We start from the raw sequence: 21,913 nt of genomic DNA on the forward strand, positions 1-21,913 counted from the left end.
CAGCTCCCCTGGCTTGTGTTTGGGGCGCTCCGCTGTTTATTCTTTAATAGAAAAAGACAGAGTTCTAAATCTTTGACTTCTGGCTCACTTTGCTTAGCCATACGAAAGAGATGGGTCCACTATATACCTTTTCTGTGAAGACCCTAACCGCTTCAAGACTGTCCCTTAAAAAGCAAGAGGCTGCTGCATTTATACAGCTGCTGCAGGGAAATTCCCTGCGACACTAGAGACAGGTAAATAAACTGCATTCGTTCCAAAGCAGGGGGAAGGGTCTTCTATCAGTGACGAGTTTACATAATGCAACGGAAAACCAGTGAGCTCTGCAGACCTGTCAAGGAGGATGCAAGGCTTGAGCTCCTCTCTTCCCACCATCTCTAAACATTCTCCAACAGCCTGCTCTTCACTGCCAGGAGACCCACAGAACTTACACCTGAGAATGAGTAACAATCTGCTTACGCTTACCCCATGCTTTCCTACCCACCTTTATTATTAAAATACAGAAGAAAAAAAAATAAAAAGAAGTAGAAAACCCTAACCACCTATTTCTGAATCCAAAGTATGGAGTAACCAAACGGGGCCGAGGAGTTTTCCCTTCTCTGAAGAGAGGAGAACAAGGCGCCGCCTCCAATCTACACTACGCCCAGTAATGCAATGACAAGCCCTGAAAACTCCACAGCGTCCCAAGCAGTCCCTCGCGGCTCGGCCCGGCTCGGACCCCGCGGCCCGGCAGCCACCCTCTCCCCCGGCCTCTCACAAAGGAGACTGGTTCAGTCCGGAGCATCACCCCGCACCTGATCCCTCACAACTGGGGGGCGAGCAGGGGGTGGAAGAGAGAGGAGAAGGAGTTACTTAAATCAAATCTCTGAGAGCCTCAGCTTTTGCTGACTCCTGGCCCAGCACTGAGGAGCGGGTGCGAGCGGGAAGCCTACCTGTGCAAGTCCTGGTACTTCCTTTCCAGGCAGCGTTTCAACTCACCCTCTCCGAGAACAAGGCGCCTTCCGGCGGAGCATGGCCAGCCCTCGCCTCAATCTAGCTTGCTAGTAGTCCATTCTCCCTAGGCTCCGCCCCCCTGCGCTCCCATCCGCCAATGGCAGCACCGAAGCCCGGCCTCTTCCAGCGAGCTAGTGTGAGCGCCATCCAGGAAGTCTCTTGAGGGTGGAAGGTCCTAGGAGGATGAGAAGGGTACGTAGGCGACCACAAATATGCCTGATTGAAAATAAAATCTGGCGGCGGCTCGCCTCTGACGACTCAGTTCACAGGCGGCCAGGCCCCTCGGCATCTTTTTTTGACCCCCGCCATTGGGGGCGCTGTGAACTAAAACAACACTTAGTTACCTACTTCTGGGAAGCCATCTTGGCTCGGACTCCGGGACTGGGTGAGAGTGCTTAAAGAATGTGAAGACCCTGTCGGTGTTCTGTCCGACTATCTAGGTCCAGCCCGAACATACTCTGCTGTATACACTTAGGAGGCCCCTCAGTCACGACGTGAAACCCTGGAGTAATGCCGTATGTGGTTACGGGCAACAACCACCACCACCCTCTCACTTAACTGTAGGAGTAAAGCAATTTTAACAAATCAAATAAGCAAAAATTAATTCTTCTAATGAGAGTGAAAGTTGCACTTTCCTAGGGTAATCCTTTATGGACACCTCACTCAAAATATCAGGACATGTATCTATTATAGGTGCTACTAAGCTTTAGGATTCACTGCAAATTTTCCAGTAGGGGCACTGTGAATCAGTTGGAAATCAAGAACAGGACTTAAGGAGGAATTCCTTTTTTTTTTTAAAGGCCTAATTTTTTTTTTTTTTTTTGAGATGGAGTCTCGCTCGGTCACCCAGGCTGGAGTGCAGTGGGGCGATCTCGGCTCACTGCAACCTCTGCCTCCCGGGTTCAAGCAATTCTCCTGTCTCAGCTTCCTGAGTAGCTGAGACTACAGGCTCCCGCCACCACGCCCAGCTAATTTTTGTATTTTTAGTAGAGACGGGGTTTCGCCATGTTGGTCAGGCTGGTTTCGAACTCCAGACCTCAAGTGATCCGCCCACCTCGGCCTCCCAAAGTGCTGGGATTACAGACATGAGCCACCATTCCTGGCCAAGAAATCTTTTTTAAAGTTGTGAGTGAGGGAATCCTTCCAGATTATTAAAGGAATTTCTCAAGGAGTAACATAATTGCATGGTCTTACATGATAGGAGCTCAGAGACATCAAGAAGTCATATGAGTGATAAGACTCGGCCTTAAGCTGGGCGCAGTGGCTCACGCCTGTAATCCCAGCACTTTGGGAGGCTGAGGCGGGTGGATCGCCTGAGGTCAGGAGTTCGAGAGCAGCCTGGCCAACATAGTGAAACCCCGTCTCTAGTAAAGATACAAAAAAAAATTAGCCGGGCGTGGTGGCAGACACCCATAATCCCAGCTACTCGGGAGGCTGAGGCAGGAGAATCGCTTGAACCCAGGAGGCGGAGGTTGTGGTGAGCCAAGATCTCACCACTGCACTCCAGCCTGGGCAACAAGAGCGAAATTCCATCTCAAAAAAAAAAAAAAAAAAAAAAAAAAAAAAAAAAAGACTTGGCCAAATACATTTCCCTGTGTATCAAAATCTGTCAGCCAAGACAGGCGCGGTAGCTCACGCCTGTAATCCCAGCACTTTGGGAGGCCGAGGCGGGTGGATCACCTAAGGTCCGGAGTTCAAGACCAGCCTGACCAACATGGAGAAACCCCGTCTCTACTAAAAATACAAAAGTAGCTGGGTGTGGTGGTGCATGCCTGTAACCCCAGCTACTCAGGAGGCTGAGGCAGGAAAATCACTTGAACTCGGGAGGCGGAGGTTGTGGTGAGCCTAGATCATGCCATTGCACTCCAGCCTGGGCAACAAGCGGGAAACTCTGTCTCAAAAAAAAAAAAAAAAAAAATCTGTCAACCAAATTCTCTCCTGGCTACTGCTGCCATTATATCAATTTGATGTTAGTATTAAGATTTATCAGAACAATGTGTTTGTCTGTAAATGCATATACAGATATAACCTTAATTATTAATAGTTTCTAGGATGAGAGCCTATTATCCATCTGGTACAGAATAGACCTGTCATCAAAGGAGCTATAGATATTATGGAAATGGGAACAGGTGTGCCTGAACCAATTTCTGGTACCTACACTGATCTTAGTATGATTTCCAATGGTCTTGGCCTTCAAAAACCAATGGACATTGGTAAGACTATAGATGGAAAAAAAAAAAAAGTGGACATTATTTCATAACTACCATTCTTCATATGGGGTGGCATATCCACTTTTTATAATTCTTCATGACCACTTCACTCAGAATACAGATGATTTTGCCCAGATACTTTTTTTTCTCATGCTTCCCTTACAATTGGTGCAATACCCAAGTACAGAAGGTCATAAGTCGGCTTGGTTAATAGAACAAGATATGGGCATTAATATTAAAAAACTGTGCTCCAAAATATCAAAATGGTATCCTTTATTGACTCTGAAAGCAGTAGCTCTAGGCAGAATGCTGTCTTTGACCAATCCTCTAATGCTTCTCAATTGCTAAAGATTGTTTTTTTGGGTAGTAAAAAAAAAAAAAACAAAAAAAAAACCTTCTGTACAGAAACTAGTTTTTATTACTTTAGTTTTCGCCCAGAGGTAAGGGGGCAGGCTAACTCCAAGTTCAACAGCTTCAAATCCTTTTTGGAATCAGATAGGATTTTAAAAACAAAACAAAAGCATAACCAAAGCAATACCCCAAATGTCTTCCAACTTCCTGTGGTGCACTGTCAACTATTACTACTACTACTGGGGTCAGAATCGAGTATAGCATGAATCCCAAAGAGGCTTCTTCATTATCTTTGATTTAATTCCCTGAGAGGAGAGTATCTACTAATGTTTGGGATACAATTAGAAATGACACATGGAGTATGAATAGCTTTGATACATGCATATATTTAATAATGAAACAATTCATCAACAGCAAAAAGAAAGTAGAAAAATTCGTAAGACCTCAGGGCTGTGGAAGAGAACGGGACATCAAGGAAAAAAGATATATATAGCAACCAACCCAGAAGGCTGCATGATGAGTGAAGCAAAGGCAAGTTTGGCTAAGATAGTATTATATGCTCTGAAAAGAGAATGGCTGGATAGGTACCCACTTATGTGACTGCTTACTAGCAGGCAGCCTTACTGTATGCCTCATGGAATGGAGGCAAAAAGCCAGGGAAAGGTGGGAGGGGAGAAGGAAGAGAACTGTATAAAACCCAGGGTAAACAAATGAGTGGGGCAGAATTACAGAGAGAGGACTCTAAAGTCTTTTGTTTCCTTGAAAGTCTAAAATAAACCTTAAGTTTTTAACTATGTCAGTCAAATTCAATGAACACATAATGAGTAGCACTAGGCACTGTAAAGGAATGATAGGGGGAATAATTTATAAAAATAAAGGAATGACATGGATCCTGCTCTCAAGGAGCTTACAACTTATACGGAAAGACAAGATTCCACACAAAAACAACTGCAAACCATATTTACATAGTAACATACATAAAAATAAATATACATATAAATAGACATATGAATAACCAACATATGAAAACTAAGGAATATTGTGTTAATAACTGCTTAGCAGTACCTAAGTCTGTTACTAAAGAAAAAATTTTTGGACTTTTAAGTATAATTAGTGGAGAGTAGGGCATGTGCAAAGGTATGGAACTAGGAATAAATATGTCACATTCAGTAAGTAGATTAGCCTGATTGGAGTAGAAAGTCTAGGTCTAGTTAAGAAGGGAGTTTGATGAAACAGTAGAAGTCTATCTGGTGAAAGACACTACAATGTTAGATCTGGCCCCTAAAATAAAATGAACAGGGAACAAATGTTTTCTTTAGGTAATAATAAGTGGCCACATGTCCCTGACCAACTTCACTGCTCTTAAAAGTTTTGAAGTTACACTAAGAGATAGAAGCTAATAATAGGATAGTAGAGAAGTACTCAGTGCTCTTGGGCAAGTAGAGGAAACTGCCTTCTACAAGAATTCTTAGGAAGTGGCAAGCAGACACCCAAAGGCAAGGAAGAAAAAAACTCAATGAAATTCCGAGGCAGAGGATCTATCAACCAAAGGCCAACTAGATCTAGGTAATTGCAAGTGTTCAAATAGAATGTCTTTGACCCTAATTCTTAGTGGGAAGTGGATTGTATATGCTTACGAAATTATTTATTTAGGCCAGGCACGGTGGCTCACACCTGTAATCCAGCACTTTGGGAGGCCAAGGTGGGCGGATCACGAGGTCAAGAGATCAAGACCATCCTGGCCAACATGGTGAAACCCTGTCTCTACTAAAAATACAAAAATGAGCCAGGTGTGGTGGCACATGCCTGTAGTCCCAGCTACTCGGGAGGTTGAGGCAGGAGAACTGCTTGAACCTGGAAAGTGGAGGTTGCAGTGAGCCAAGATCATGCCACTGCACTCCAGCCTGGAGACAGAGTGAGACTCCATCCCCCCAAAAAAAAAAAAAAAAAAAGAAAAAAAAAATTATTTATTTATTTGAGACAGAGTTTTGCTCTTGTTGCCCAGGCTGCAGTGCAATGGCGTGATCTTGGCTTAGCGTAACCTTCACCTCCTGGGTTCAAGCGATTCTCCTGCCTTGGCCTCCCGAGTACCTGGGATTACAGGCATGCACCACCACACCCAGCTAATTTTGTATTTTCAGTTGAGATGGCATTTCTCCAAGTTGGTCAGGCTGGTCTCGAACTCTTGACCTCAGGTGATCTGCCCACCTTGGCCTCCCAAAGTGCTAGGATTACAGGCATGAGCCATGGCGCCCCGCCATGAAATTATTTTTTAACTACTGTGATAATCAACTTTGATCCTAACAATTTAAGAAATTTGTATAGGAGGATAAGAAGAACCCTAATCTATAGGGAATGCTCATGTCCCTGAAGGAGGACAGGTCAGTAAGGGCCCAAATTCTCTCCTGGTCTTTAGGTGGAAAGGCAAAACATCACACTTTAAAAAGAGGCTGCTCTCAGCCAAAGCAAGAAAGACCTCTTTCATTAAGCCTATTGATCTGAAGCTATTCCAGGAAGGACAAAAAAAGTTCAAGCCAGATGTTCAGCAGCAGCCAGAGTTGGACCCTATGTCACGAGAGTTCCGCTGGGAGGCACTGGGTCCCACTGATGTTGAAATTGACTGTTGGGGCCCAATCTTGATGCCATTTGCCTGTAAAAGAAAAGAGGCAATAGTTCCCACCTCAGTGTTAAAGTGAATGAGAGACAGGAGGGGGCTATCTCTGCTTGTATCCCAGGGTAGAAAGAAAACAGAAAGGGGAGAAAGGAGAAATCATTAATTATATTTTCTAAAAGCAGATTTGACCTTGGCAGGTAACCAGATGCCCTAGCCACGCTGATGTGGAACAATAATCTGTGACAGTAAGAATAAGATGACTACCTGTGGTCTAAATATCCTAGTTGACTACAGTGGCTTTTGTGCACTTTTTTTTTCCTTGAGGAAATGAGGTCTCCCTATGTTGCCCAGGCTGCAGTGCAGTGGCTATTCACAGTATGATCAGTGTGCACTATAGCCTCAAACTTCTGGCCTCAAGTGATCCTGCCTCAGCCTCCCAAGTAGCTGAGACTATGGGTGCGCCACTGCACCCCTGTGCTCATTTTAGAGACGGAGTCTCTCTTTGTTGCCCAGGCCGGTCTCAAAGTCCTGGCTTCAAGCAATCTCCCCAGCTCAGCCTCTCCAAGTGCTGAGATTATAAGCATGAGCCGCCACACCTGGCCCCTGTGCTCATTTTTAAGGGACAATGTTATACTTAAATGTCATAGCTACGTGCAGAATCAGGGTGTGACGAGGTAGAAGTGGAGGCGGCAAAGTGCAGAAGTAGCATATGATTCTTTTTGTCTTGTTCCAGAATTTACTTTATAGAAATTACTCTCCTAAGCAATTATGAATTATACCTCCCTTACGTTCTAGAATAGTAAAAAACTGAGGTTGACAAGAAAATCTCCCATATTGTGTAAGTCTTTTAAATCACCAATAATCTCTTTAAGCATTCTGAGTGTCAGACTTGAGAAAAACAGAAAATGATGACAGGTCTCTGTGTACCTAGATTTAAAAAAAAAAAAAAAAAAGTGTTGAATTGGCAGAGCTTTTAAATTGTATAATGATAGATGGGGAATGTAAGCATTCCATTCTAGGGAACCTCCAGTTGTATTCAGAACAAGCCAAAGTTAACTGCCAGCACTTCTACCCTTTCTTACCTCATTGTGGACATCAAATAAACCCTGCTGGATCTTCCTATATATTTCTTTGGCTGTGTTAATGAAGGCCTGAAAGAGACATAAATCGTATCATCAGTCTCAAGTTCAGGTAGAGAAATGAGGGAAAGAGAATATTAATTATTATTCATATTTGAATTTCTAAGGTGAATTAGGAACCATTAGAAGACAGTAAAAAACATAGAAGGTCGGTTGGGTGCGGTGGCTCATGCCTGTAATCCCAGCACTTTGGGAGGCCGAGGCGGGCAAGTCACTTGAGGTCAGGAGTTCGAGACCAGCCTGCCCAACATGGTGAAATCCCGTCTCCACTAAAAATACAAAAATCAGCCGGGCGTGGTGGCGCATGCCTGTAATTCCAGTTACTCGGGGGCCAAGGCACGAAAATCGCTTAAACCCAGGAGCGCAGGTTGCAGTGAGCTGAGATCGCACCACTGCACTCCAGCCTGGGTGACAGAACGAGACTCAGTCTAAAAAAAAAAAAAAAAAAAATCAAAAAAGAAAAAAAACATAGAAGGTCCCCCAAATGTCCTTGTAAAAGCCATTAAGAGTAGTTTCAAACACAAAAGGATTATGGGGTATTCTGGTACTGACCCAAGATGTTCCTAGGCTGGCACCTTCCACAAATAAAACAAACATACTCTATTCTCCACTGGTTACCGAAGATACCATCAACACCAGGCCTAGGAATGACTACAGTAGAACCCATTAGACACTCCAACCAGAGTGATTTACTAGTAACAAGTGTGGTGTCTAATCCACACTTGCCAACTAATGTTACCCAAAGCAAAAGTAAAACCTTGGGAATCAGGGTAAAAGAAAATGGGACAATTCCTTTAAAAGGAATGAGACATGTAGTCACTACGATCAGAAGACATTCTTTCTTTTTTTTTTTTTTTGGAGATGGAGTTTTGCTCTGTTGCCTAGGCTGGAGTGCAGTGGCGGGATCTCAGTTCACTACAACCTCCGCCTCCTGGGTTCAAGCAATTCTCCTGTCTCAGCCTCCCGAGTAACTGGGACTACAGACACACGCCGCCATGACCAGCTAGTTTTTTGTATTTTAGTAGAGATGGGGTTTCACCATATTGCCCAGGCTGGTCACAAACTCCTGAGCTCACGCAATCTGCCTGCCTTGGCCTCCCAAAACGCTAGGATTACAGGCATGAGCCACCGCGCTCGGCCAAGACATCCTTTCTTTACCAATTTCTTATAGGAGAAGAGAATTCTGAATACAAGGACAAATAATGGTGTAATCTCTAAAGAGCTTTCCCCACTGTTTTCCAAATAGTACCTCTTCAACATTGCAGGCTGTTTTGGCTGAAGTTTCCATGAATATAAGTCCATGCTCCCTAGCAAAGGCCTCTCCTTCTTCTCTCTTCACATCCCTGCGGGACTCTAGGTCACTGCAAGAGATTAATTAAGGAGAAAATTTAAAAAAAAGATCCAAGTGAAAGAGGAAAGTCTATTTCTAAAAGAATTCCGTCGTGGTTTCAACTGCCAGTTATTTCATAAAGAATGTAGATCCTACATGATACTCTTATACAGAGTTACTGATTTTTGTAGCATCTTGGAAAATATTCTTTAGTTTTGGGACAGCTGCTGCATAGTTGAAGATAATACCTCACTCTATTACAGAGAAAATGGCTTATCAAGGGTTAGGCAAGCCCCCATAGTTACACAAAGCTTATGCTCTATTGCTTGTTTTTCCAATGAGATCAAGGAGAGCAAAGTATAGATGAGGAAAAAAAAAAACTTGGCTGGGCACAGTGGCTCATGCCTGTAATCCCAGCTCTTTGGGATGCCGAGGCAGGTGGATCACGAGTTCAGGAGTTCAAGACCAGCCTGGCCAAGATGGTGAAATCCCGTCTCTACTAAAAATACAAAAATTAGCTGAGTATGGTGGCAGGTGCCTGTAATCCCAGCTACTCGGGAGGCTGAGGCAAGAGAATTGCTTGAACATGGGAGGCGGAAGTTGCAGTAAACTGAGATCGCGCCATTGCACTCCAGCCTCAGCGACAGAGCAAGACTGTCTCTTGGGCGGGGAAGAAAAAAAGGAAAACTCTAGTTACTAGAAAGCAGAAAAGTCATAAGATGTCCCATCCAGCAGTGATGAGCATCTTCCTTTTTTACTGGAATCAAGCCACAAGAAGAGAATGAGCCAGGAATAAGGAAAACACAGTTGTCTTAAGTCTCACTGGTTTCGTTACTAGTGCATATAAAAGCAGCTTGCCACCAGGGAATTCAGAGACAGTGATATGGATAAAATTAGGTGAAAAAAAAGATAAGAGCTAAGGACTGAAAAAGGGAATAAAAATGGCAACAAAAGACCTTATGAAAAACAGGATAAAAGGCTGCAGAGCTGGGCGTGGTGGCTCATGCCTATAATCCCAGCACTGTGGGAGGCTGAGGCAGGAGGATTACTTGAGCCCAGGAGTTTAAGAACAGCCTGCACAATACAGTGAGACCCTGTCTCTACAAAAATTTAAAAATCAGCAGAGCGTGGTGACACATGCCTGTAGTCCCAGCTACGTGAGAGGCTGAGGTGAGAGGATCTCTTGAGCCCTGGAAACAGGTTGCCGTGAGCTGAGCACGTTACTGTACTCCAGCCTGGGCAACAGCACGAGACCTTGTCGCAAAAAAAAAACAAAACCAAAAAAACAAACTGAAGAATAAGGCAAGGTTGGGCTGTTTGTGATTCGTATTTTTCAATTTGAAAATTTTCATTTGGGAGGTTTCCAGTTTTCCAACTCCTTGGAAAAAAAGTGTAAGACCATTAAAGAACAACAAATCTACAATATTTTAATTTATTATACCATCAGCTGTGTGAAGACCAGGGAAGATCTAAATGTCAACCCTCCCAAATTTGTACCTCTAGCCCAGATGCTTGACTAAGCACCAGATTTGTACATTTGTGAATTCTTCATTTCCACACTGATACATAAAACGGACTTCAAACTTAACACATCAAAATGGAACTTCTTTTCCCCTAGCCTGTGTTTGCTGCAGGCTTCTGTATCTCAGTAAATGGCATAAGCCAAAAACCAAAGTGTTATTATTGATACCCTTTGCTCCCTACTCCAAATATCTAATCCATTCCAAAGTGAAGTACTTCCAATATGTACCTTAAAATTATCCTTTCTTTCTCTTTCCAGGGTCACTTCCTAGACCAAGCTACCATTCTTTCTCATGTGGACTATTGCAACTGGGATACTACTTCAGTCCTTGTTCTCCTCCAGAGTGATCTTTTAAAATCTGATCAAGCCACTTCTCTACTTAAAACTTTAAAATGCTTCAGGTGTATTTATTTATTATTATTTTTAATCCCCCATCTCCCAAGCTTCAATTTCCATGTATTTAGAATAAAATCCAAAACCCTTACTCAGGCCTCTAAGGTGCTATAAAATCTGGTCCCTACCTACTTTTCCAACCTCATCTTGCACTATTCCCTCTTGATTTAGTCCAATCACACTAGGTTTCTTTCAATAAACGTGTCAAGCTTCTTCCAAGTTCAAGGTGTTTGTATAGTTTGTTCCCCCCAAGTAATACCCTTTTAAAAAAATCTTTGCCCAGCAGGCTCTTGCCCATCCTTCAGATCCCAGCTTAATATCACTCCTAATCAAAAGTAGGTACCCTGTTATTCTTTCGTAGCACCCTTTTTCCTCCATTGCATTTATCACAATTTACAATTTGATACAAATAATTTTATATTTAACATCTATGCCCCCACTAGACTGTAAGCTGCACAAGAGCAGGGGGACGACTTTTTTCCACCTTGCAAACTCAGAATCTGGCACAGTCGTTTTCAATACATTGACTGATACACTAAAAATAATTAGCAGGATGGGTGTGGTGGCTCACGCCTGTAATCCCAGCACTTTGGGAGGCCGAGGCAGGCGGATCGCCTGAGGTCAGGAGTTCAAGACCAGCCTGATCAACATGGAGAAACCCCGTCTATACTAAAAATACAAAAAAATTAACTGGGCTTGGTGGCACATGCCTGTAATCCCAGCTACTCGGGAGACTGAGGCAGGAGAATCGCTTGAACCCAGGAGGTGGAGGTTGCAGTAAGACGAGATCATGCCATTGTGCTCTAGCCTGGGTGACAAGAGTGAAACTCCATCTCATAACAAACAAATGAAAACAAACAAACAAACAAAAAACCAATTAGCCTGTGGCCACAGTTCTCAAATAGTACACTCTGGGCACTACTACAAACTCACAAGGGTGCCATGGGATACCTCAAACTTTTGAGAAAAACACAGTAACACTCAACACAAGGATACTTACTACATGAATTACAAGCTTAAGACAGTTGCAATGTCAATATCAGACCATGATAAAATTCGTTCAATATCTTCATATCTCTGAGAAGCTGTTTCTGGCAGTTGCTGTTATAAAAAAGCAAGCACTACACAAAAATCAATATGAAATGGGAAATGAGAGTAGCAGTGTGCAATCGTGATTCCAAGGTTTGAGAAGCTATGCAGTGCCCAACAGACACATAGAGGTCTTTAGTAAGTAACTGTTGCTATTTAAGAATGAAATAATTTTTTTTTTTTTGAGACAAAGTCTCACTCTGTCGCCCTGGCTGGAGTGCAGTGGCACTATCTCAGCTCACTGCAACCTCCGCCTCCCGAGTTCAAGCAATTCTCCTGCCTCAAGCTCCCAAATAGCTGGGACTAGAGGTGCGTGCCACCACGCCTGGCTACTTTTTGTATTTTTTCAGTACAGACGGGGTTTCACCATATTGGCCAGGCTGGTCTTGAACTCCTGACTTTCTAATCTACCCACCTCGGCCTCCCAAAGTGCTAGGATTACGGGCTTGAGCCACCACGCCTGGCATATTTTTTCTTTTTTTTATATAGGGTCTCACTCCTGTTGCTGAGGCAGGAGTGCAGTGGTACAATTACAGCTTCATTGCAGCCTCGACCTCACAGGCCCAAGTGATCCTCCCACCTCATTTAAAAATTTTTTTGTATAAACAAGGTCTCACTATGTTGCCCAGGCTGGTCTTGAACTTATGGACTCAAGCAATCCTTCCAGAGCTGGGATTACAGGCATACGCCACTGCGCCTGGCCTTTTTATTTTCAAACAGTTACTAAGCGGTTATAAAAAATACTCATGTTGTTTGGGTATAACTATTTAACAAAACTATTAGGTATTTCTTTTGGCCTATGGGTGTCAAAAAAAATTTACTGATAATAACCAGTGTTGTTAAGGATGTAGAGAAACTGGAATCCTTGTACATTGCTGGAAAGAATGTAAAATGAGACAGCTGCTATGGAAAATGGTATGGTGGTTCTTCAAAAAATAAAAGAATTACCATATGATCCAGCAATCCCACTTCTGGGCATATACCCAAAAGAATTCAGAGCTGGGACTTGAACAGATCCATGTTCATAGCAGCATTATTCACAATAGTCAAAGGATGGCAGCAACCCAAGTGTCCATGGACAGATGGATAAACAAAATATTGTGGTATATGCATACAATGAATATTACTCATCTTTAAAAAGGAAGGAAATTCTGACACATGCTACAATATGGATAAACCTCGAAGACATTATGCTAAGTGAAATAAGCCAGTCACAAAAGCACAAATATTACATGAGTCTACTTGTATGAGGTACCAGTAGTAGTCAAATTCATAAAGTAGAATGATGGCTGTCAGGGGCTGAGGGATGAGGGGGATGGGGGAGGGAAGATGGAGAGTTAGTGTTGAATGTGTATAGAGTTTGAGAAGATGAAAAAGTTCTGGAGATGGATGTTGGTGATGGCTGTGGAACAATGGATATTCTTAATGCTACAGGACTGTATGCTTAAAAATAGTTAAAATGGTAAATTTTGTGTCATATATATTTTATCACAACAAAATTTTTTTTTTTTACTGAAACACTAAGACCACTATAAACTGAGAAAGTTTGGGGATCAATGTGCATAGAGTACCTAGATGACTCCTGTTAACTATTATTCACATGGATACAATTTTACCTCTTATTCCCAATGAGCATGATAACCATGTTGGAACTAGAGTGCTGCCGGGCATCCTCTAACCATGAGGTCAGGTGGTTGAAGGTTTCACGCCTACAGCAGAAAAATTTAGAATGTGGGTCAGAGACACATTTCAAAAGGCCAAAACAACTCCAAGCGTATACGAAAAGAGGGGAAGCCATACGTGTAAAGAAAAATATTAGAGAGGCCATTCCTAGTTAACATCCTTAACAGAATCAGTAGATAGAAAAAAAAAAAAAGCTTTAGAGGATTTAGGGAAGAATCTCCCTCCCATGCACCAGATCTGGCTCACCTTGTAATGTCGTACACCAGCAGTGCTCCAGCTGCTCCCCTGTAGTAGGAACGGGTGATAGAACGGAAGGATTCTTGCCCAGCCTTTCCCACCAACATGGCAACAAAAAATCCCAACAAAACCAGGTTATTTCCACAGAACCGACTTGATCACATGCCACCCTAATACAAAGGACTTAACTAAAAAAAGAATTTCTATTACGAAAAGAGAATTAGGGAAAGAAAACATGCCTGCCCGAGAAGAAACCCAAGTGGGAAATCAATATTTTTCTATGGGAGTGCATTGATATTTTGGGCAGTCACTTACTCTTCCTGAGAGACTGTCCATCAGATTAGTGGATGTTTAGCATCCTAGATCCCAGTCACTAAATACCTGTGGCACCCCAGTCAGCACGATAAAGACGATGAAGACATTTGCATACATTTCCCAATATCCTCATAAAAGAACAACTGGAAATAGGACTGGAAACGGAGTGTATGTCATTTTTTTCAATCCCAAATATGATATTGAACACACCATATTAATCTTTCTGTTCCCATTTCTTTATCTGTAAAAAGGAAAGTTATCTTAGAATGCCAAAACCTGGTCTAATAGAAATTTCATTCCAATGAATCAATATAAAAATTAGATTAAAAGCACTTCAACTGATTATCTTCTAACTGACCTTTAGTGTTCCACTGATAATGCAAGACTACCTAGATGTCCCTTGCTGGGCTTCTGTCATGGGAAATAGGAATAACAAACAGAGAAAGAAGCCCAGGGCCCAGCATAGAGTTTTCCTAGAAAAATCCAAATGTTCACACTCTAATCTCATTTCCAGTTGGACAAAGATATTAAGTTCTATTTAAAACTGAGTAATTTATTAATGCCCCCATAATACTGGGTACTTTTGCTTTCTTGATGGACTAGTTCTTTTTTTTTCCTTTAGGGAAAACAAAAACATTTTTTAAATAATATGAATACCCTGTACATTGAATCTATCCTATTAAGAAAGTTTTCACATTCTTGAAATAATTTATCCTTACATCCCTACATAACAGGAGGTAAGACTATAATTTATAGGTTACAAATGGGAGAATCATGATTAAGGATGTGGGAAAATAAATGGCTTTCTCATAGTATAATACCAGTAACAGTGGTAACACTAATTATAACACTGCAATAGTACTATAAACTACTTTTTGGCATATAAAATGTGCTACGAACTTTAAGAGACAATTACATATATTATTTCATTTACTTCTCTTAGCAACCCTGGGGCCGATATTATTATTCCCTTTTTTTTTTTCTTTTTTTTTTTGAGAGGGAGTCTCGCTCTGTTGCCCGGGCTGGAGTGCAGTGGCGCAATCTTGGCTCACTGCAACCTCCGCCTCCCAGGTTCAAGCAATTCTCCTTGCTTCAGCCTCCCAATTAGCTGGGATTACAGGCGCCCACCACCATGCCTGGCTAATTTTTTTGTATTTTTGGTAGAGATGGGTTTTCACTATGTTGGCTAGGCTGGTCTTGAACTCCTGACCTCATGACCCACCCGCCTCGGCCTCCCAAAGTGCTGGGATTACAGGCATGAGCCACCGTGCCTGGCTTATTATTTCCTTTTAAAAATGGGGAAAATGAGGCTCACACAAGTTTAATAAACGGCCCCAAATCATAAAGCTTATTAAGTGCTAGAGCCATAATTTAAACTTAGGATCTTAGTACTTCCTAGGACAAAAACTTGTCCTCTTAGCCACTATATCATATAACCTAAACTGGGGTTTGTAGGTGAGAAGAGAATTCCAGTATACTAACTCTAAGGTTAATTTTCCAACAACAGAAGAATCTCTTTCTATAAGAATCATAGAAACATGTGAGTGAGTTGCATAGCTGTTAGAGAATCAGAATCGGAAAATAAAAACTAATTCTGAAGTCCCCTGTCATAATACTAATAATATTTTAAGATTAAAAAAATACTTACAGTTTTATATTTACTCCCTAATGTCTTACGTTATTTGGGTCTTGTTTTCCTTTTAGCACTTACTTTTTCTCCTCTTCTGCTATGGTTGTAAGCCTCCCTCTACTTCCCTCACAGCCTACCAAGAACTAAAAGGGAAAGTTTGAGGGAGGCCCACATGATGGTTCAATCACATGGCAGCATTTATCTTTAGCAGCTGAAAATGCTATCAGTGGGTCATGAGAAAACCTTTTAAAATCAAATCACTCACCAGGCGCAGTGGCTCATGCCTGTAATCCCAGCACTTTGGGAGGCCAAGGCGGGCAGATCACGAGGTCAGGAGTTTGAGACCAGCCTGACCAACATGATGAAACCCCATCTCTGCTAAAAATACAAAAAAAAAAAAAAAAAAAAAAAAAAAAAAATAGGTGGGCGTGGTGGCGCACGCCTGTAATCCCAGCTACTCAGGAGGCTAAGGCAGGAGAACTGCTTGAGCCCGGGAGGCAGAGGCTGCAGTAAGCCAAGATGGCGCTATTGCACTCCAGCCTGGGCAACAGAGTGAGACTCTGTCTAAATTAAAAAAAAAAAAAAAATCACTCTACTTCATCTCATTCCAGTTCATGAGCCAAAGTTTGTGAACCAGTAAGCTAGAAAGAGTGAGCAGTTCAATTTGGTCTTGTCTATATCAGTCTCAGGTATCCTTGGCCATCCCCAGTAAAAAAATCTGAAGCAGCAGGCTGGGCACCGTGGGTCATGCCTATAATCCCAGCACTTTGGGAGGCCAAGGTGGGCAGATCATTTGAGCTCAGGAGTTTGAGACCAGCCTGGGCAACATGGTGAAACCACGCCTCTAAAAAAAATACAAAAAATTAGCCAGGTGTGATGGCACACATCTGTAGTCCCAGCTACTTGAGGGGCTGAGGTGGGAGGACTAGTTGAGCCGGGGAGGTTGAGGGTGCAATGAGTGGAGATGGTGCCACTGCACTCCAGCTTGGGTGACAGAGCAAGACCCTGTCAAAAAAAAAAAAAAAAGAAAAGAAAAGATGCAGCAGCAACGAACTAAGATGAAGGTTTTTTTTTCCTTTTTTTTTTTTGAGAGGGAGTCTCGCTCTGTTGCCCAGGCTGGAGTGCAGTGGCATGATCTTGGCTCACTGCAACCTCCGCCTCCCAGGTTCAAGTGATTCTCCTGCCTCAGCCTCCCCAGTAGCTGGCATTACAGGCGCCCGCCACCACACCTGGCTAATTTTTTTATTTTTAGTAGAGATGGGGTTTCACCATGTTGGCCAGGCTAGTCTCAAACTCCTGACCTCAGGTGATCCGCCTGCCTCAGCCTCCCAAAGTGCTGGAATTACAGGCATGAGCCACGACACCCGGCCTAGATGAAGGTTTGATAAGATAATTAATAGCTTTCTAATCTCTCCCAAGTGGAAGCATCATACTATATTAAGATATACAGTTTGAAGTATCAACTCCTAGAAAGTCAGATACACCATTTTCCTAAGAATCAAAATGCATTCCTTCCAATGAACGGTTTATTAAGGAAAAAAAAATTTTAATTGCATTCCAAAGTAAAATACAAACCAATTTGATATTATTTGATCAGTATTTTATATTACAGTAAAATACCTATTCATTAGCATGATTATTTAGGAATACGTGTATACACACACACACACGATTTTTTAAAATATGCTTCTCTAAATCCACATAAATGCCAGAACAAAGACAACAAAAACCTTTGGACAACCTGATCTCTTTAAAATACCTATCACAGTAATCCCTAAACATTTTCATGTAGGATGGGTTTGGAAGTAAGTGAGAGAATGGGTCAATAAAGTGGGAAGCTAAGATGGGTAAACAATGGGCAGGAGATCAGGGCTGACAACGGAGAAATGACCAGACTTACCCAAAAGGCGACAGACTAGATGGACACATTATTATACGTATGAATCTTTTAAAATTTTCAAAATATATAGAAAACCACAGTGTTCTGAAACTGGTTCCTTTTTATGATTTAGCAAATATTAATCTCAAGACAATTTTAAGAGGGAACAGAAAAGAACTAGGCCAGTTGGATGACCATGTAGTTCTTAAGGATTCTGTCCAAAGTCGTGGCTCTCAACTTTCCTTTTTTGTTTGTTTTTCTATGTATGCATTCTCAGCAGAATCAAGCTCTCAACTTTCTTACTTTCATGATCCAACCATGTCCCATATGAGTGCTTAAAAAAAAAAAAAAAAGGCCATTGCCATGACCATTCCATTAAATGGCACTTATTGGGTTTTTTTCCCCAGCATCAAAACATTCATCTGGGCCAGGTGCCAAGGCTCAGGCCTGTAATCCCAACACTTTGGGAGGCTGAGGAGGGCGGATCACTTGAGTCCAGGAATTCGAGACCAGCCTGGGAAACATGTTGAAACCCCCGTCTCTACAAAAAATACAAAAATTCCCCAGTGCAGGGGATCAGGGGATAGATCTGTAGAGATAGACGGATAGATGGATGGATAGACAGATGAACTTAAGCTTCAACTACTTTTAAGACATACACTTGCGTGTGGTGAGGAGCATTGGGGAGGGAAGGAGAGGAAAGGGAGGAAAAGAAAAAAGGAAAAATAATGTGTACACTGTTTGCAGATATAATGGCTTTAGCTCTCAGTTCAGAGAAGAAACAGAATCACATAGTAAGAAGTAAGCAAAAAAAGTAAGAGATTTTAGCCAAATATTATTTACTAGCTATTTACTAGCTCCCTTTAACTAGAATGGAGACTAAGGTATTATTTTACTTAGGGGGAAAAATGTACAAATCAAATGAGATAATGCACATGAAAGCAATTTATCTGGATAGGGCAAAACTACACTAAGCCAAGCTAAATTTTGGCATTACTACATGTATCAAATTTGAAAATATGTACAAGCTTTTGACAGAGTTTCCATTTCTGGGCAGATATTCCACAAAAATTCTCAAACATTGGCATAAAAACTTTGTAAATAAGGATGTTCAGGCTGGGCACTGTGGCTCACGCCTGTAATCCCAGCATTTTGAGAGGCCTAGGTGGGTGGATCACCTGAGGTCAGTTCAACACCGGCCTGGCCAACATGGCAAAACCCCATCTCTATTAAAAATACAAAAAACGTCCGGGAGTGGTGGCTCACACCTGTAATCCCGGCACTTTGGGAGGCTGAGGCGGGCGGATCACGAGGTCAGGAGATCGAGACCATGCTGGCTAACACGGTGAAACCCCCTCTCTACTAAAAATACAAAAAATTAGCCAGGCGTGGTGTCAGGCGCCTGTAGTCCCAGCTATTCGGGAGGCTGAGACAGGAGAATGGCACGAACCCGGGAGGCGGAGCTTGCAGTGAGCTGAGATCACGCCACTGCACTCCAGCCTGGGCAACAGAGTAAGACTCCGTCTCAGAAAAAAAATACAAAAAATACAAAAAACATTAGCCACGTGTGGTGGTGGGTGCCTGTAATCCCGGCTACTCAGGAGGCTGAGGCTGGAGAATTGCTTGAACCCAGGCGGTGGAGGTCGCGGTGAGCCAAGATTACGCCATTGCATTCCAGCCTGGGTGACAAGAGTGAATCTCTGTCTCAAAAAAAAGAATGCTCAGTGAAATTCTGCAATACTTAAAAATTGGAAAACAACCCAAATTTCTATCAGTAGGATGATGGTTACATAAATCATGCTACTGACATTCCATGACTACGCAGTGGTTAAAAGGAATGAGACAGATCTATATGTATTGATATGGAAAGGTCCCCACAACATAGAGATTGTTTAATATACAATCTAAGTCACACAACTAGGTCTACTCTGTCACGATTCTATACATGTAAACACTAATAAAAACAAAACTACTACCATATATTTCTATGTGTTTACATGTATGTATCTAAATGCATAGAAAAAGTCTGAAAGCATACACGTGGAATCATCAGTAATGATTTCCCTGCTAGAGTACCAACCAAGATGGGAAGGGAGAAAGAGTTTATGTATCAAAAGGGGACATTTACTTTCTATTCTATAAATTTATATTGTTTGATTTTATTTTTACTAGAATAAACTATTACTTGGATCGTTTACAACACAAAGATACAGCATCCAGAATTTGTAACTGTAACAGAATCAAAAACTTCTCTCTTTGATTTCACCTTTCCCCTACTTTATCCCCACCATTAGTTCCACCCTCATCGCCCCTTTCCTTTGCATCAGCTTTTCTTGTTATACTTGGATATTGGTCAGAGACTAAATTATTTTGTACTCTCACCGTATCCCAGATTTGCAGTTTGATTTGTTTTCCATCAATGTTGACCATACGAGCTCCAAACTCCACACCTGTCGGTAAAGACCGAGAGAAAGAATGTGATTCTCACGAACAGCAGCCACGTGGAGTGGGAGGTTCCTGCCTTTCCTCAATGTGTTATAACCATCCTTTGTCTGAACTCAATGCCACTAATTCCATTATTGCTGCCTATTTGCTCCAATTAATTTTGTGTTTCTTAAGGTTCTTCATTTCCCTTCTAGAATTAAAAAATTGTGCTCAATGACCTCAGGAATGTAACCAAAAAGCAGATATGGGAAAATAAAACCAATTAAGAAGTCAAATTTAAAAAGGTGAATACTTTTTTAGCAATGTTAGGTTAATGCTTAAATTTGGTTAGGTAACATTTAGTTTTGTAACTTTTCCAAAAAACTAAAAATTTTGGAAATATTTCCTGACACTTTCTCAGTCACTCTTTAGTCTCTACTTAAAACAATATTTATTTTTTTGCAATTCCAGATGTTTTTCTTTAAGAAAAGAGCCTAAGAAATAGGTTCTCAGAAACAATACTTTTTTTTTTTTTTTTTTGAGATGGAGTCTCGCTCCGTCACCCAGGCTGGAGTGCAGTGGTGCGATCTCAGCTCACTGCAGCCTCCACCTCCTGAGTTCAAGTGATTCTCCTGCCTCAGCCTCCCAAGTAAGTACCTTACAGGCACACGCCACAACGCCCACCTAATTTTTTTAACAATACATTTTACATTTCCAATAATTGCCAGAGGCACAATTAAGCATTGTTGCCTTGTTAAGCATTGTATCATTAGCCCCTATCGCAAAGTGAGAATTCGCTCAATATTCCCTTTAAAATACCTTTTAGTTGATACTGCCAAATCCTTTTCTAACCCCATCAATTATTTGACTCTAAATAAATCCGTTAGGAACAGTGGTAGCTTCAGGTTTCCATACAGGTGGGACTTGGAAGTAGCAATATGGTAAGAATGGGGATGTAGGGGTTTATTTAGAAACTGCATTTGCATGGCAAGAAAGCTAGTTTCATATATGTTGTTTATTTGGACTGGGGTTACGGAGATAACGAAGAGGGGGTAGTTAAAAGCCTCTTCAGGCCATGCCTTATCACAAACGTGTGGGAAAGGTTAATATTTTCCAGGATCGCCAGTGCGTTTGAGGAACTGTTAACACACTCTTTCATTTAAAAGGAAAGTTTTTAGTTTTATTTGCCTATTAATTCTAAGGCAGGGATGACTCCTCAATTTGCTTCTTCACCAATATAAAAAATGTCCATGTATTGGTGTTTACTTTTTAAAAGTAAGGCTGGTATTAATTTACCTCAAAGCACAGATGAGTTCATAAATAAGCAGTTATGCTTTCGTGGGATTTTCCATAAACATACAAATTGTATTTGAAAAAAAATTATATGACGAGTCTATACCTCACACTCTAAAAAGTTACCTTTCAATTATATACTCTCCCTTACACTACTCCCCACATATCAACGTTTCATTGGTCACTTCATTAACATAAGTTTGGACTAGTTTAAAGTAGTGAGGGGTAACTTTTTACTTCGAACACTGAAGGCTGCTAACTTTCCACTTTAGCAATTTAGCTAGTCAGGTTTTATCATCTGTTCTGGAACAAGTAGATGCACTTACCTATTGTGAGGTCGTGGACAGGCTGGAACCGCTTATCTGTAAACTGCAGGAGGAGACATGACTTCCCCACACCTGAAAGAGAAAGCACACTCCCGGAATCACGCAGCCCTGGAACACCTTCCAGAGTATGGACTTCCCGGACCAGAGAAGGGGGGCTCCCGAGCCCCGCCCCCGGCCGCCCCGAACCGCCCCGCCCGTCTCGAATCGCCCAGCCCACAAAGTGAGCCCCGCCCCCGCCACCCAATTTGGGAGCTTCGAATGCCCGCCCGAGCCTTGAAGGCGAACCACCTGAGGGTTACCTGTGTCTCCGATGATGATATACTTGAAGAGATAAGCATAAGTCATGGTGTCGCGTCCTCTGGGTTCCGGGTCCGCCCGACTTCTATAGCCACTTACCTCCGACCTCTCTAGCCACTCAATCTACCGATCTTCTTCTTCTCCCCCTTCCCCCCGCTCCCCCGCCCCTCCGGCTCCTCTAGCCCAGATCA

The 21,913-nt window shown here is 42.2% G+C and overlaps 2 protein-coding genes and 1 long non-coding RNA gene across 7 annotated transcripts in view, besides 7 other annotated features; 1 reads left to right on the forward strand and 2 right to left on the reverse strand.

Moving 5' to 3' along the window:
• Positions 1–1,021, reverse strand: part of CHD8 (chromodomain helicase DNA binding protein 8) — a 70,925-nt gene extending 69,904 nt beyond the window's left edge. Inside the window, exon 1 of the mRNA NM_001170629.2 lies at positions 930–1,021. The gene's annotated coding sequence lies outside the window, so the exon portion shown is untranslated. The remainder of the gene's footprint in view (positions 1–929) is intronic.
• Positions 764–1,453: an enhancer, noted in NCBI's record as "active region_8104". NCBI's record gives its function as "activates an Ori minimal core promoter by ATAC-STARR-seq in GM12878 lymphoblastoid cells {active_cell/tissue: GM12878}" and the evidence as "EXISTENCE:reporter gene assay evidence [ECO:0000049][PMID:35858748]".
• Positions 764–1,869: a biological region, named in NCBI's record as "H3K27ac hESC enhancer GRCh37_chr14:21924579-21925130".
• On the forward strand, positions 1,295–10,768 carry LOC124903283 (uncharacterized). Its single transcript, XR_007064064.1, has 2 exons — positions 1,295–1,375; positions 10,415–10,768. It is a non-coding gene; the product is annotated as an uncharacterized LOC124903283 (long non-coding RNA).
• Positions 1,318–1,869: an enhancer, noted in NCBI's record as "H3K27ac hESC enhancer chr14:21924579-21925130 (GRCh37/hg19 assembly coordinates)". NCBI's record gives its function as "activates a minimal SCP1, AML or CMV promoter by ChIP-STARR-seq in primed H9 embryonic stem cells {active_cell/tissue: H9 hESC(primed)}" and the evidence as "EXISTENCE:reporter gene assay evidence [ECO:0000049][PMID:30033119]".
• Positions 1,484–1,533: an enhancer, noted in NCBI's record as "active region_8105". NCBI's record gives its function as "activates an Ori minimal core promoter by ATAC-STARR-seq in GM12878 lymphoblastoid cells {active_cell/tissue: GM12878}" and the evidence as "EXISTENCE:reporter gene assay evidence [ECO:0000049][PMID:35858748]".
• Positions 1,544–1,593: an enhancer, noted in NCBI's record as "active region_8106". NCBI's record gives its function as "activates an Ori minimal core promoter by ATAC-STARR-seq in GM12878 lymphoblastoid cells {active_cell/tissue: GM12878}" and the evidence as "EXISTENCE:reporter gene assay evidence [ECO:0000049][PMID:35858748]".
• Positions 1,870–2,421: an enhancer, noted in NCBI's record as "H3K27ac hESC enhancer chr14:21925131-21925682 (GRCh37/hg19 assembly coordinates)". NCBI's record gives its function as "activates a minimal SCP1, AML or CMV promoter by ChIP-STARR-seq in primed H9 embryonic stem cells {active_cell/tissue: H9 hESC(primed)}" and the evidence as "EXISTENCE:reporter gene assay evidence [ECO:0000049][PMID:30033119]".
• Positions 3,918–21,857, reverse strand: RAB2B (RAB2B, member RAS oncogene family). 5 transcript variants are annotated; one of them, NR_028074.2, is made up of 8 exons: positions 21,725–21,857; positions 21,426–21,497; positions 19,765–19,832; positions 13,568–13,606; positions 13,255–13,347; positions 8,554–8,665; positions 7,248–7,316; positions 3,918–6,201 (listed from the first exon to the last, which is right to left on the reverse strand). NR_028074.2 is itself a non-coding variant. In NM_032846.4 (8 exons), exons 1-8 carry the CDS (start codon positions 21,768–21,770, stop codon positions 6,094–6,096), a joined length of 651 nt encoding a protein of 216 aa, NP_116235.2. In that variant the 5' UTR covers positions 21,771–21,857; the 3' UTR covers positions 3,918–6,093. The 5 variants fall into 5 exon arrangements, 4 of the variants coding, with proteins under 4 accessions (NP_116235.2, XP_016877201.1, NP_001156852.1 ...); NM_032846.4 differs by having other exon boundaries at positions 13,568–13,650; XM_017021712.2 differs by lacking the exon at positions 21,725–21,857 and adding an exon at positions 14,084–14,114.
• Positions 21,274–21,393: an enhancer, noted in NCBI's record as "active region_8107". NCBI's record gives its function as "activates an Ori minimal core promoter by ATAC-STARR-seq in GM12878 lymphoblastoid cells {active_cell/tissue: GM12878}" and the evidence as "EXISTENCE:reporter gene assay evidence [ECO:0000049][PMID:35858748]".

The sequence above is a fragment of the Homo sapiens genome, chromosome 14 (genome assembly GCF_000001405.40).
Source record: "Homo sapiens chromosome 14, GRCh38.p14 Primary Assembly".
NCBI lineage: Eukaryota > Metazoa > Chordata > Mammalia > Primates > Hominidae > Homo > Homo sapiens.